The 12,798-nt window shown below is 42.4% G+C and overlaps 1 protein-coding gene across 1 annotated transcript, besides 3 other annotated features; it reads right to left on the bottom strand.

Moving 5' to 3' along the window:
• Positions 1,713 to 5,472, bottom strand: ADO (2-aminoethanethiol dioxygenase). The gene has a single exon (NM_032804.6). It carries the CDS (start codon positions 5,130 to 5,132, stop codon positions 4,320 to 4,322), a length of 813 nt encoding a protein of 270 aa, NP_116193.2. The 5' UTR covers positions 5,133 to 5,472; the 3' UTR covers positions 1,713 to 4,319.
• Positions 4,868 to 4,987: an enhancer, noted in NCBI's record as "active region_3430". NCBI's record gives its function as "activates an Ori minimal core promoter by ATAC-STARR-seq in GM12878 lymphoblastoid cells {active_cell/tissue: GM12878}" and the evidence as "EXISTENCE:reporter gene assay evidence [ECO:0000049][PMID:35858748]".
• Positions 5,168 to 5,417: a silencer, noted in NCBI's record as "silent region_2399". NCBI's record gives its function as "represses an Ori minimal core promoter by ATAC-STARR-seq in GM12878 lymphoblastoid cells {active_cell/tissue: GM12878}" and the evidence as "EXISTENCE:reporter gene assay evidence [ECO:0000049][PMID:35858748]".
• Positions 5,458 to 5,717: an enhancer, noted in NCBI's record as "active region_3429". NCBI's record gives its function as "activates an Ori minimal core promoter by ATAC-STARR-seq in GM12878 lymphoblastoid cells {active_cell/tissue: GM12878}" and the evidence as "EXISTENCE:reporter gene assay evidence [ECO:0000049][PMID:35858748]".

Below are 12,798 nucleotides of genomic sequence, written 5' to 3'. Positions count from 1 at the left end.
CATAGAAAAATGTCTTCTTCTAATCTTGTACATACACTTTTGGAGAAGAATTCCTTAAAGATTCGTAGTGCTTTTGAGATATTTCAATTCATATTAAAAATGGGTTGATAATACCTACACAAGGCTTACAAGTTTTCATAAACCTGGCTATTTAATTTCATTATCCCAGCTGCTAATAAGATTAAGGCAAATTGTTTCATATATATTAAAAATGGCTGCAGTGACATTTTAACCACTTAATAACCACTTTTGTGTGTGTGTGTCGGTGGGGGGGGGGCAGGGGGAAGAGCGGTCAGCATTAACACAAGTCCCAAAAATGCTGCCAGCAGAAGCTAAAACTAAACAAATACTACAGGAAAACAAAACAAAAAATAAGGAAAGAAAATAAGTCCTAAAACTCTTTCCTTCCAGAATGAAAGTATTTTTGTTTTCTTGTATAGTACTATCTTATTTTCCTTAGGTTAAATACAAAGTAAGCTTTTTTCTGTTACAGCAAAATAGTCCAATTAGACATTAGCTTCAGATGTGTTTTCCTTCAGGCTGTTTCAAAGCTCACTCTCAAGGAAATAAACTATTTTTAAGTGTATATTACTTGGGCTTTAGAAATCTGCAGAAGGCCACTAGATTTTAGTACAACATAATCTTACAGTATATACTGTGAACCTTTCATGGTAATCAAACTGTAGACATCAGAGCAGGTAAGGTTTTCCCTATCTGTCTTGCAATAATCAAGTAAGAATTATCTCTAAACAATTTGAAACATGTCTTCATTTTCCATAAGTACACTGATTTTTTTTTCCTTTCTTTTTTGAGATGCAGTCTTGCTCTTGTCACCCAGGCTGGAGTGCAGTGGCATGATCTTGGCTAACTGCAACCTCCACCTCCCGGATTCAAGCGATTCTCCTGCCTCAGCCTTCTAGGTAGCTGGGATTACAGGCGCCCACTACCATGCCCGACTAATTTTTGTACTTTTAGTAGAGATGGGGTTTCGCCATGTTGGCCAGGCCGGTCTCGAACTCCTGACCTCAGGTGATCTGCCTGCCTCAGCCTCCCAAAGTGCTGGGATTACAGGTACACTGATTTTAATCCAGAAATGTAAACATCCCCAGATTTGGGTTTGAAGATTCAATATCTATAAGGGACTTGACAAATGGTTTCCTTCTTTGACAACAGATGCCTCATTGCAATGGAAGTGATCAGTGATTGGCTTCTGTATATACGCTTAAGTTATTTAGACCTGCAATTACAAAAGTAGCACTGCTCTCAGGTTAGAGTTGGAAAGCAAGAGGCAAGCCCTGAATTAAAGATATATTGCTTCTTCACTGGGCTGTAGAGCTAGAGCACAAGATTCAGAATCAGTAACAGATGAGTAATGGCAGAGTCCTCCCGAGATGCCAGGACTGAGGCACCTAGAAGGAGACAAGGAAAAGGGGGAATAAAAGGTGTGGATTTTGGAAGAAGTTCAGGGTTACTGGTGTTAAAAGCTCAGAAAACCCTCTCCTGTTGCCAAAACACATATTACTTAAAAAGCAGGCTACCACTTTCATTAATAAATAGCAGTTGGTGTAAATGCAACCCATTCAAATCAGGCTTAGTAAAAATCAATTCTCATAAAATAGTAAGTAGGTACACAATACTCTGCATTGATATAACTGGCCAGTGACAGAACCAGATACTTTAAAAGCTTCAGAAGCATTTAGACAGACAATTTCTCACCCATGAGGCAATTATTGCATTTATTATTCACCATAAAAGTGATTAATATCATTGTGCTCATTAGTCTTTCCAAGGGGAAGATAACTTTTATCCCACAGTTGTTATTAAAACATTATCTATATTGGACGGAGTATATAGAAACACAATAGCAACACACCAAGTCAGTCACGACTAACAGTTTATGCACACAGGTGCAAGATAGTTTCTGCACCACATTTTGTCTTTGTAATAAGCATATTCTTTCCTCAGTGGCTCACTAAAACAAGTTATATTTTGTCTTCACCACTAATTTACTCAGAATTTATTAGTGAACCAAAAGTTTCACTGTTCTTATTGAACTAAATCTGAGATATCATATTGCTGTTTTGGCCTGCAACAATTTCAGTTACTCTTTTGAAAAGCACCTTAGGTTTTTTCTTCCAAATTGCTCGTAATTGAAAACTTTAAAACTTCTTTTTTTCATAATGAAGTCATAATTCTTCCTTTATTACTATCCTACAGCCAGGATGAGTTTTCGTAGCTTTAATGTACTAAGTTGTATTATAACACATACATTGCTATTAATAATCTTGGTAAGCTAATCAACTTTTTGCTACAATATAATCCAAAAAAGTATGTGATTGATAACCACATTCATTACTGTGCTATGGAAAAAAAAACAAGATCTTTTATTTTGTGAAGTTTTCTAAGAAAATCATTTGCATATCTAGAATTTTATTTTCAAACTAAGTGGCATGAAGAACTGCTTCAAACTGCCCCCAAAGGCATTTTAAACTACACCAGAATGTGGAGCTACAATAAAACAATTTTAGCAACAATGCAGGAAATACTTGGTACTATGCCTGTGTCAGGTTTTATAATAAAGTGGCATGTCCTGTGGAATATCTTTTTGTGTTTTGTTTTGGTTTTATTTTTAAATCACTCACCAAGTATTTGCTTTTTTATACTATCTTAAAAACTGGGAACAAATACTCCCTCACCCTGGGTCTCTGTGTGCATAAAGAGGCAAAGGCACGTACTGTTTCTCTACATACGGGGTCAACATTCCACTAATAATAGCAAATCTCCCTTTATTATAGATATTAGAACTCTATTGCCACTTGGGCAAGTCAATCAAGAGGGCTTAGACGACAGCTGGGCAAATTTTAATGTGTTTATTTCTACAATTTCTTTTTATTAAAAGTCTTGTGAAAAAACGGAATCCTATAAATAGTAAAAAGGGAGAAACAGTGCTCCATGGCCTGAAGCAAATGGTGTCAATACATGTGTAAACAAGGTAAGACTGCTCGGACTATTAAAAGCACAAAAATAAAACTAGTCACAGATAGCAAGACTTCATTTCAGGAGTTGGGAGTGGGAAGTAGGAAGTGTTTAATCCCAAGTTTTGGTGCCCTAAAATGGCTAGTAGTATAGTTAATTCTCAATTCTCTAGCTGTGATCTTCTGTGCCTTCTATCTCTTCCTAAGGAAAACCACATTAGATGAACCCAGGGCTCAGTCATTTTAGGGAGAGGGTTGAGACAACACTGCCAGCAACACAGCTGGAATCACCCGAGTCGGGAACATTAAAGTTCCTGAGAGAATATGAAACAACTATCAACATAATATTTCTCCCTACTTTTACAGTAAAATATTGGAAGTAAATAAATATAGGGAATGCAACAACTGGCTAGGAGTGTTTTACATTCAGTTGTTTGGAAGCATAACACATTCAGCTCCTTTGAATCTTCCCGTTAGAAAATACAGAATTACTCTATCACCTTTTAAGGTACAGTAAGACAAGAAAAAAAGTCATGTGAGGATAATACAGTCTTTGCATTAAAGGTGAATCTGCAACATGAAATCTGCTCGACTCACAGATCTGGAGATTCATAGGGAAGATAAGCTCTAAGTGACCATGTCACAGAGATATGCAGGTGCTGAATTTCTTAGTAGATGCTGCCTGAGTAAACCAGATGTGGCTACTGGGCAAAGGGAGGAAAGAAAATAAATCTTGTCCTCTACATGCATAGTTATGTTGTGAGAATGATCCCCAAACTGAAAAAATCATTTAGTTTTCACAAGGAATTAATTAGGCAGGCCAGCTCACTTTAAACAGTAGCTCATCTCCTTAAACCTAGTTTTTACCAATGACTTGAACTAAAAACAATTCAAACCACTGGGTCATGCACAGTCAATAAGTTAAAAAACTATAAGAAAAAAAGGCATAAGGGCATGAGTGGAAAATAAACCCTATTTAACTAAGGGGTAGGGAGTGGGAGCAAGAAAACCACTTAGTATTTTGTATAGAATGGGGAAGAGAGGAAGATATTTTCATTATGGCTTTAGGATGGAAGCGCTTCAGATAGTCCCCTGCCCCATTCCTCCAAATCAAAGCCCCAGTGGCAGTGACAGTACCAGGAAACAATCTAGCCTCCCCGCCCACCCCGCCCCCATAACCGTGCCCGGCGGCTGCTGTCCAGTCGCCCGTGCTTCCCAAGGCTGCCGAGGAAGCGGCTGCTGCTCATTCCAGTAGATCCAACGCCCAGGCTAGGGGGTAGAGACACAGCCCTTGTGGTAGGGTAGGGCACGTCTTCGGCCCACCGCTCCTGGGCGCCAGTGGCTTCAAGGGAAGACCTTGGGACCTGGATAGGGTTCTCCCTCGCACCAGAAGTCATCGGCCTGTGGGGTCTCCAGGAGCCACACCTCTCGAGGCAGGTCACAGGCCGAGCTGGAGGCCTCCTTGGGCCTGACCGGCTCCAGCACCCGGTAATAGTGGCAGTCCCGGCCATCGTCCGGGTCGTAGGGCGGGGCCAGGATGTCCAGGAAGGCGGCAGGCCCTTCCACGGCGTCGATCTGGTGCAGGTTGTCCCGGTGCGGTGTGAGGATGCAGGGGCCGCTGGCCTCGGTGTACTCGGCCCGCGAACGCAGCACGCCCGGCCGCACGGCTTCTCGCTCCCGGGGCTGCAGCGGCGGCTCGAACTGCTGCTCGGGCGGCAAGGCCCGCGGCCGTTGCCCGCCGCCCGCGTCTAGCTTGTCCATGCAGCTGATGCGCACGGTGCCGTACAGCACCTTGAGCATGCCGTGCATGCCCGGGTGGTCGTGCAGCGGGATGGACGTGCCGCTCTTGAGCAGGAACACGCCCAGGCTGAAGCCGTCCGTCTCGTAGATGTGCATGTAGGTGACTGGCGGCAGGTTGGGCGGCAGCGGCTGCAGTGTGGCCTTGCGCGGGGCGATGTTCAAGTCCTCGGCGCGGAGCTGGGTCAGGAGGCTCTTCAGCTTGCTCAGGTTCTCGGGGAAGCCCGGCTGCATCGGCGCCTCCGGGCCAGAAGCCGCGTCGCGATCGGAAGCGCCGCGGCCGCCCCCGCTGCCCCGGAAGGTGAGGCAAGCCTGGCGGGCGATCCGTTGGATCAAGGAGGCCATGTTGTCTCGGGGCATGGTCGGCTGCTCCTCTGCGTGCCGGGACCGGCCCCCTCCTTTCCTCCGCCCCTTGCGGTCCCCGGCGGCCGCCACGGCTGCCCCCAGCCCGGGTCGAGGCGGGAGGCCCCGCAACCACCGGCCCGTCGGGCGCGCGGCACCGCCGCCAACCTCAGCAGCCACGCGCCCGCAACTGCCCGGCGCGCTCGCCTTGAGCCCCCTCTGAGCGCGCACGCGCACGCCCCACACCCCGCACTCACGCTCCGGGAGCAGATAGCGGCCGCGCAGACGGTGCCAGGCTTTGCCTTACGCCCGGCGCTCCATTCATGCGGCCCGCACCTACGACGGTGGCCGGGCGCCCGGGGACCCTGCGGAGCATGCCGGGACTTGTAGTCCGGCCTTCCGCTTGAGCTCTGAGATAGTTCAGTTTGTTGATTGGAAAATAGAGGAACTATTACACATGTTGGGCATAAAGCGATCTTTTTCAGGATGCAGAGGTGTTTTTCTTGTTTTAGAAAAGATGAATCGGGGTGGAAGATTAGTAGCCACTTGACTACAACTCCCGGCACTCCCCGCAGGGTGGAGTGACGCACTTCCGTCAGCTGGCCCCCGGAGTAGTGGAGGCTCTTGGCCTTCATAAGGAAAGGGGCAGGGAGGGTCGTTAACCTTCTGGCGCCGCGCTGGGGCCTGGTTAGCCATGCAGGGTCGCCTTCCTTTGGCCTTGCCCCTGGGAAGGAGGCTGTTGAGTCAGCCTTAGCTCCTCGTAGCGGCCTAGGCAGCACTGTCTCCCACGGGAATTGCAGGAGGGCGCTTTTATAATTTTGTGTTTCCTAGGAGGGGAGGGGGTCCAGGCCGTCCTCTGTGATCATCAAGGTTACTCGGCCCAGCTGGGCCCAGCTGGGCCCAGCTGTTGTTTGCATCAGGACCTGATGACGCTGCTCTTCTGGTTACAGAGCAGTATAGCTTTTTGCTGGAGAGACTTGAGAGGCCATTTACAGTGGTCGTGGATTCTGAACATACTAGTGGTTATCAAATCTTGGTTTGCCTGAGAAGGGGGAGCGGGCTTTTATAAATGCAGATTCCCTGTCGTCACCCAGAGATGGAGTTACTAGATGGTTCTGAGGCATCCTAGGAGAAATAGTGGTGTGCAACAGTCAGTTCAGTCAGTAATTGTGAAATTGTTTCACTACACAGAGGCATCCTTCTCCTTGGCGTGAACTAACTTTTGGCATAAGTAAATGACTAGAAAAGCAAGACATTAGATACTATGACTTTAAACTTAACCCTGAGTTTAAAGTCTTTTTGGATTCCAAAGCTGAACATGGGTTTCTTGTACATTTTGTAATTGGAGTGGTTCAGTGAATCCTCTCCAGTTAAAATAGGCATACTTTTTAAAGTGGATTACATAACCTGGCTAATGAGTACTCACAATATGCCAGGCACTGTGTTAAGTGCATTATATAATGAATGTTATACTATTTAATCCTTGCAGCAACTCTTAAGAGGCAGGCACTATTATTATTCCCAGATTGCAGATGAGGGAATAAGTTGTAGGATAGTGAATACTAAGTACCCAGCAAAGCATGAGCAGCAGAGCAGAAATAAGTACAGTCTTACCAAAAACAGCAGCTTGAATTGGTGTAAAAGCACCAAACGAGAGTCAGGATATTGTTGTTCCAGCCTACTGTGTGTACTTACAAGCTGTGTGTCGTTAGGCAAATCCTACCCTTTTAGGGCCTCAATTTATTCATTTGTAGAATGCCGGTGTTAAGGGAACAAAAGTTCTGAACCCTACTCATCAGAACCCCCTGGAGAGCTTAAAAAATAAAGATCTTGGGGTCACACCTCAGAGATTTTGATTCAGAAGAACTGGAGTGAAGCCTATTTTTTTGTGTGTGGTTTTTTTTTGTTTGTTTGTTTGTTTGTTTTGAGGGGTAACAAGGTTTATCGTGAAGAGCGAAATAACAAAGCTTCCACAGCTTGGAAGGGGACCACAGCGGGTTGCCCCTATGATTTATATTTAAGATGCTTCCTCAAGCAATTATTATTATTATTTTTTTTTTTGAGACGGAGTCTGGGTCTGTTGCCCAGGCGGGAGTGCACTGGTGCGATCTCGGCTCACTGCAAGCTCCGCCTCCCGGGTTCACGCCATTCTCCTGCCTCAGCCTCCGGAGTAGCTGGGACTACAGATGCCCGCCATCACACCCGCCTAATTTTTTTTTCTGTATATTTAGTAGAGACGGGGTTTCACCATGTTAGCCAGAATGGTCTCGATCTCCTGAGCTCGTGATCCGCCCCCCTCGGCCTCCCAAAGTGCTGGGATTACAGGCGTGAGCCACGGCGCTCGTCCAAGCGATTCTTGATCATTAGCTCAGTTTGAGAACCACTGGTAGAGCTGTAAATAGTGAACCAGCTTTCATTAGTTAAGAGGGTGGTTATTTGCTTTAGGAAAGGATTGTTAAGACTGATTCATTTTTAGAGGTTGCCATGCCATTGTTACGTTATTTAAATGTACTTTCAAAGCTGATAAATAAATTTCATACAGTCTTTTTTCTAAAGTGAGAAGTATTTGAGAGTAAAATTCTTCCCCTTCCTTTATTTACAAATATGGACTTTTATTTATTGGTTTTACTTCTATTAGGGTATAATTAGTGGTAAGTATAGACTCCATGGAACACAGACTATATTAACATGCAGATCTCTTGCACTTAATGGTTGTCCACACTTACTTAACTGAAGCTCAAAATTTTCATCTATAAAATGGGATAATATACCTGTGTAAATCACTGATGACACTATGTAGAACATAGTAGCTGCCCCATGACAGTAGCTATTATAGGTTTAAAATGGCTATAAGTTGTACTTAAAGACCAATGAATTTAAATAATACTAAGCAAGTATTGAAATGGAATTTGACTTGTTTTGAGAATCAGCTTCAGGGTAGAGATAAAAAAGATTATTGCTTAAACCATTTACCTGGTAATTTGCTAGTCATCCTTTGGCCTGAGTTCAAAGTTTCCGAAGACTGCCTGTATCAGAATCACTTGGGAGTGTCTGTCAAAAGTGCAGATTCCCAGATCACGTCAAAACCTACTGCATCTGAATCTTTTGCACATTAAAAATTTTAAGAACCAGGCAGGCATGGTATGGTGGCTCATGCCTGTAATCCCAACACTTTGGGAGGCCAAGACAGGAAGATCGCTTGAGGACAGGTGTTCAAGGCCAGCCTAGGCAACATAGCAAGACCCCCATCTTTACAAAAAAAAAAATTAAAAAATTAGTTGAGCATGGTGATACACGCCTGTAGTGTATTCTGGAGGCTGAGGCAGGAGGATTGATTGAGCTGATGAGTTCAAGGCTGCAGTTAGCTATGATTGCACCCCTTCACCCAGGCCTAGGCAACAGAGTGAGACTGTCTCTCAAAAAAAAGTTTGTAAGAACTGCTGAGTGTCTACAGGGCATGTGGTACTTTTTTAGGTCACAAAGAGTCTACCTCCATAATTCCTTTTGATGTTGCCCTTCATTCAGAGCTGCACTAATGGGTGATATTGACTCTATGGGCTTTTGCCCTTAAGAAGCAGTTTACTTGCCCTTCTGCCCCACTGCCAGTAGCATAGGCTGAGTGGGTTTCTATTAGCATTAACATCCTTCTTTTTTATCCTTGTTGATTCTGTAATTCTTCAGTGTTGTTATAAGCAAAATGGAGACCAAAAGAAATTCTGAAAGGGAACAGACAGGAAGAGAAGTGATAGTGAACAAATACTAGGAAAATGCATGGCAGAGACAAGGTTTAGGGAAAGTTTAGGATAGACAAAATCAATCGTTTGATAAACAGTCAGTATCCACTGAGTACCAGGCATTGTTCTAGGCTTTGGGGATTCAGCAAGGAACAAAGGAAGACAAAGTCCAAATTCCCAAGGAGTTTACCTGCGAGTAAATGTGTATGTTTGAGAGGATGGAAGCGTTATACAGCGCGAGTAAATGAGCAACATACTTTTCAGACAGAGATAACTTAGGAAGACAGTAAAACACAGTCATAGACTGGTGTGATATTTATTTGTGTGTGGTATGTTACTTTAAATTGGGTTATCAGGAGCGACCAGATGTTAACATTTAAGCTATTTTTGAATGTTAAGGAGTTAGCCATGGAAAAATCTGGGGTCAGAGCATTCCAAGACCAGGAAACATCCTTAAGATTATTAACAGGGTATTGACTATCACAACTTTGACCACGTAGAAAGGAACTTGGTATAATTAGGAGAGAAGATGAAGACCTGCGGGGTTAAGACTGCGTAGTGAGCTTCCAGGTTCCTGGAGGGAGATGCAGGTGCAGAGGCCAGTAGGGATTGTGTTATGTAGGCCTTATAGGCTGTGGGAGGGGGTAATAGGGAGTTGTAGGCTGTGGTAGGGAGTTGGATTTTATTCTAAATGCAGTGAGAAGTCTTTGGAGAGCTTTGGGCAGAGGAGTGATTTGATCTGTTTTACATTTTTAAGAGGTTGGTGGTGGGGCGAGTGTAACAGCAGGGAAACCTGAATGAGGGGCAGTAATCCAGAAGAAAGACAAGAGAACTAGTGTAAGGATAAGAATCTGTTTGAAGGTACAGCTGACAGGGCTTGCTGATGAGCTATTGCTTCAGCAATCTATTTCAAAGTGTATTTTCTCCATGTTTTTTCTTTCACAGGTTGACAGCTTTGTGGTGATAGGTAAGACTGATACAGCTTAAATCCCACCTCCTACCCACATCTATTAAATTTAGGAATGAGGGAAGCACACAGAACCATGAGTAAAGCTGAGATTTTTTTTTCTCCTCCTTTACAGTTGCTTAATTAACCAGGAAACAAGGAGAGCTGGAAGAGCCCCCAGCCTATATGGATTTAACTCCACCTGTTCATTTCTATGATCTCTTCATTCTTTGGGAACTAGGCTTGTGCTTTTGCCTTTCGTTCTTCTTCCCCTACCTCTTGACTCTATGAGGACTGATTTTCTTTAATTCACAAGATACATTACCTTCTGGCTTTTACTCAAATCTTCTTCAGAATTCATTTGCCCATTTCTTTTGGTCACACTGAGATCCAGTGGAAAGAGTACAAAAGATTATAATGGTATTCTCACATGCTCAGACTTCCTAGTCTGCAGTTTTGTTTTGTTTTTGTTTTTAAAGTGGGAACTAAGGTTTATTTTTTCCCGAGTAGTCATTTCCACCTTATTCCGATATCTGCCTTTTATATTAGTATAGAACATGGTAAATAAATAGATTAAAATGTCCCCATTTTCAGACTAATTCATAATTATATTTGAAGTATTTTGGATTCATATTGTGGCTTTCCTTTCAGTTTTTAAAAAACATGAGTGTATATTTCTCATTCCTTATTATGAATGAATGTCATGTTGTAAGAAAAAAATAAAAATTTCAAAGTCAGAGGAGCTGGTGTCATGGCTTTGCCACTGACTAGCTGTGTGTTACCGAGCAAGTCCACCCTCGCTGGATCCCAGTTTCTGTGAGAGATGATCTATCTGTAAGATTCCTTCTGGCATCTCATTAGCTCAATGTGGAGGACAGAGACAATCACAAGACTGATTCAGACAAAACCAAACATATGTATTTTCTTTCATTTACCTAAAATTATTACACTATAATCCTCTTAGCTGTGTCTATCTCCATTAAGATCTTATAAAGTAACTCTGCCTACTCTAGTTCAAATTTGTGTGGTTGTCTGAAATCATATCACTTTGGAGTACGGGCTGTTTAGCTAAATATGCTAAGTTCAGGGCTTTTTCATGTTTGGGTGAGACTTTAGGTGCACACATTGCACTAATAAATTGCAGAGGTTGTGTTGTGTGATACATGCCATAGACACAATTTTCTAATCGTAATTCTATAGACTGGTGCATATTGGGTTGGGATAGAGAAGGACTTAAATTTATTCTTTTTTTCCTCTTACTTGCCAATGCCTTATTTCAGGCAATGAGAGGCAAGGGAAAAAAGAATTAAAAACTGGTAGAATGCAGAGCATAGTTGAGGTGGGGGAAGGTGTGGCTTTCACAAGTTATTAATGAAGAGACGATTTTGCTATAGCTCAGGCTGAAGAACTGCCAGAGATCACGTATTATGATTTTTGGAGGTGATTTAAGATTATAACACTCCCTCCACCAATTTGGTATTAGAGAGGTTTTCCTCTTCTCATTTAAGCAATACAACTATTATGAGACTTAAAATTGTTGTGAACTGTAAATTAAATTCAAACACACTTTACCTCTCTTAATTAACTCCCCCCACCCCGCCCCATTTCATGCTTCTTGTTTTTCTTTTCCTTTTTTTTTCCTCTGAGAAGACATCAGCTATCTCTACCTCCTCCGCTTCCCCATCTGTCCTCTTCCTCCTGGCTGAGAGAGTTTTACTTTATATTTATTTTAATTAATGGATTTGAATCACAAGTGGTGAAACAGTTGATGTTCAGCTTCAAGAGGCAGTGAAAGGGAAAATTGTCTTCCTTAACTTGCCAGCAAAGAACTGTGTGTTCATTGCTGGTGCCTGCCTGAAAAATGACTGGGAAAGGGGCAGGATAGGGTTCCAGAGTTCTATGTCCTTGCAGGGGAAGAGATGCTGTATACTAGGATTAAGGGAAATGAAGGTGAGGAAACTCTTTAGAATGAAATTGTACTTTCTTGGAAGACGCTTTTCCCACAGGATGCTTAGTATTAGGTGGGTGCAAAAGTTATTGTGGTTTTTGCCATTAAACCATAATTATATTTGCACCAACCCAATAAATATTGCTTTATGGTCATGGATCATTGGTTTGGAATCAAATTCCTTAGGAACAAAATAGCAGGATGCAATTAAATTGTTTGAGCACTCTGATTAATAAAATCCACTGTAAGTTTATCATCTTTTTCTCTTTAGTTGGAGAAGGCAAGTGATACTTTGTTGTTTTTGTTTGTTTGTTTGTTTTTTTAAGCTTCTCCCTTGAGTATTCACCTTAAATTACACTCCTGGGCATTTGACTGACTTGAAATAAATAAATAGGGGCAGTATTACATGTGTTTTCTTGGAGAGATGAAATGCTGCTAATCAAAGCCTTCTTTTGGAAAAACAAACAAAAATAACCTTGTCCACATAACATAGATGCTCTGTTCTGGCATTTTAAGAAAGTGTGAGAAATAACAGTACGATTTGAAAGTGGAACAGCAGGACTTATCATGGAAAGAATAATGGACTGCGAGGACACCAGTTCTCCTCCTGGTTCTAGCAACCAGCTGTGTGACTTGGGGCAAGTCATTTCACTTCTTGGAACTTCAGTTCCTTTATTTATAAACTGAAGAATTTGGTTTAGATGATTTACCACTTTCCTTCCAGCATTAAAAAAAAAAAACCTATGAATTTTGAAGATTGTAATGATTAATTTCATACCATGATCTGCACAGATATCACAAAAGACACTTTTAAATGTATTTTTAACATGAAGAGAACACTCAGTAGCATGTATATAATGATACTTGACTTGTTTTTATGTCTGTGTTTTCCCTTTCTAAAGTAGATTATATTGACTTTTCCTGAATATAGATCATTGAGTAAAATGAGCAGGAGCTCTTGTTTAAAATGTTTGTCATTATTTTTAGTTTCCACAATGTGTTTTTTAAGGAAAAAAATTTTTTTTTCATTCTAAGCACAAATTATCATGCAATAAG

This window comes from Homo sapiens, chromosome 10 (genome assembly GCF_000001405.40).
Source record: "Homo sapiens chromosome 10, GRCh38.p14 Primary Assembly".
Classification (NCBI taxonomy): Eukaryota; Metazoa; Chordata; class Mammalia; order Primates; family Hominidae; genus Homo; species Homo sapiens.
Note: the sequence above shows the minus strand (reverse complement) of the source record. Positions and strands in the feature narration are given on the sequence as shown.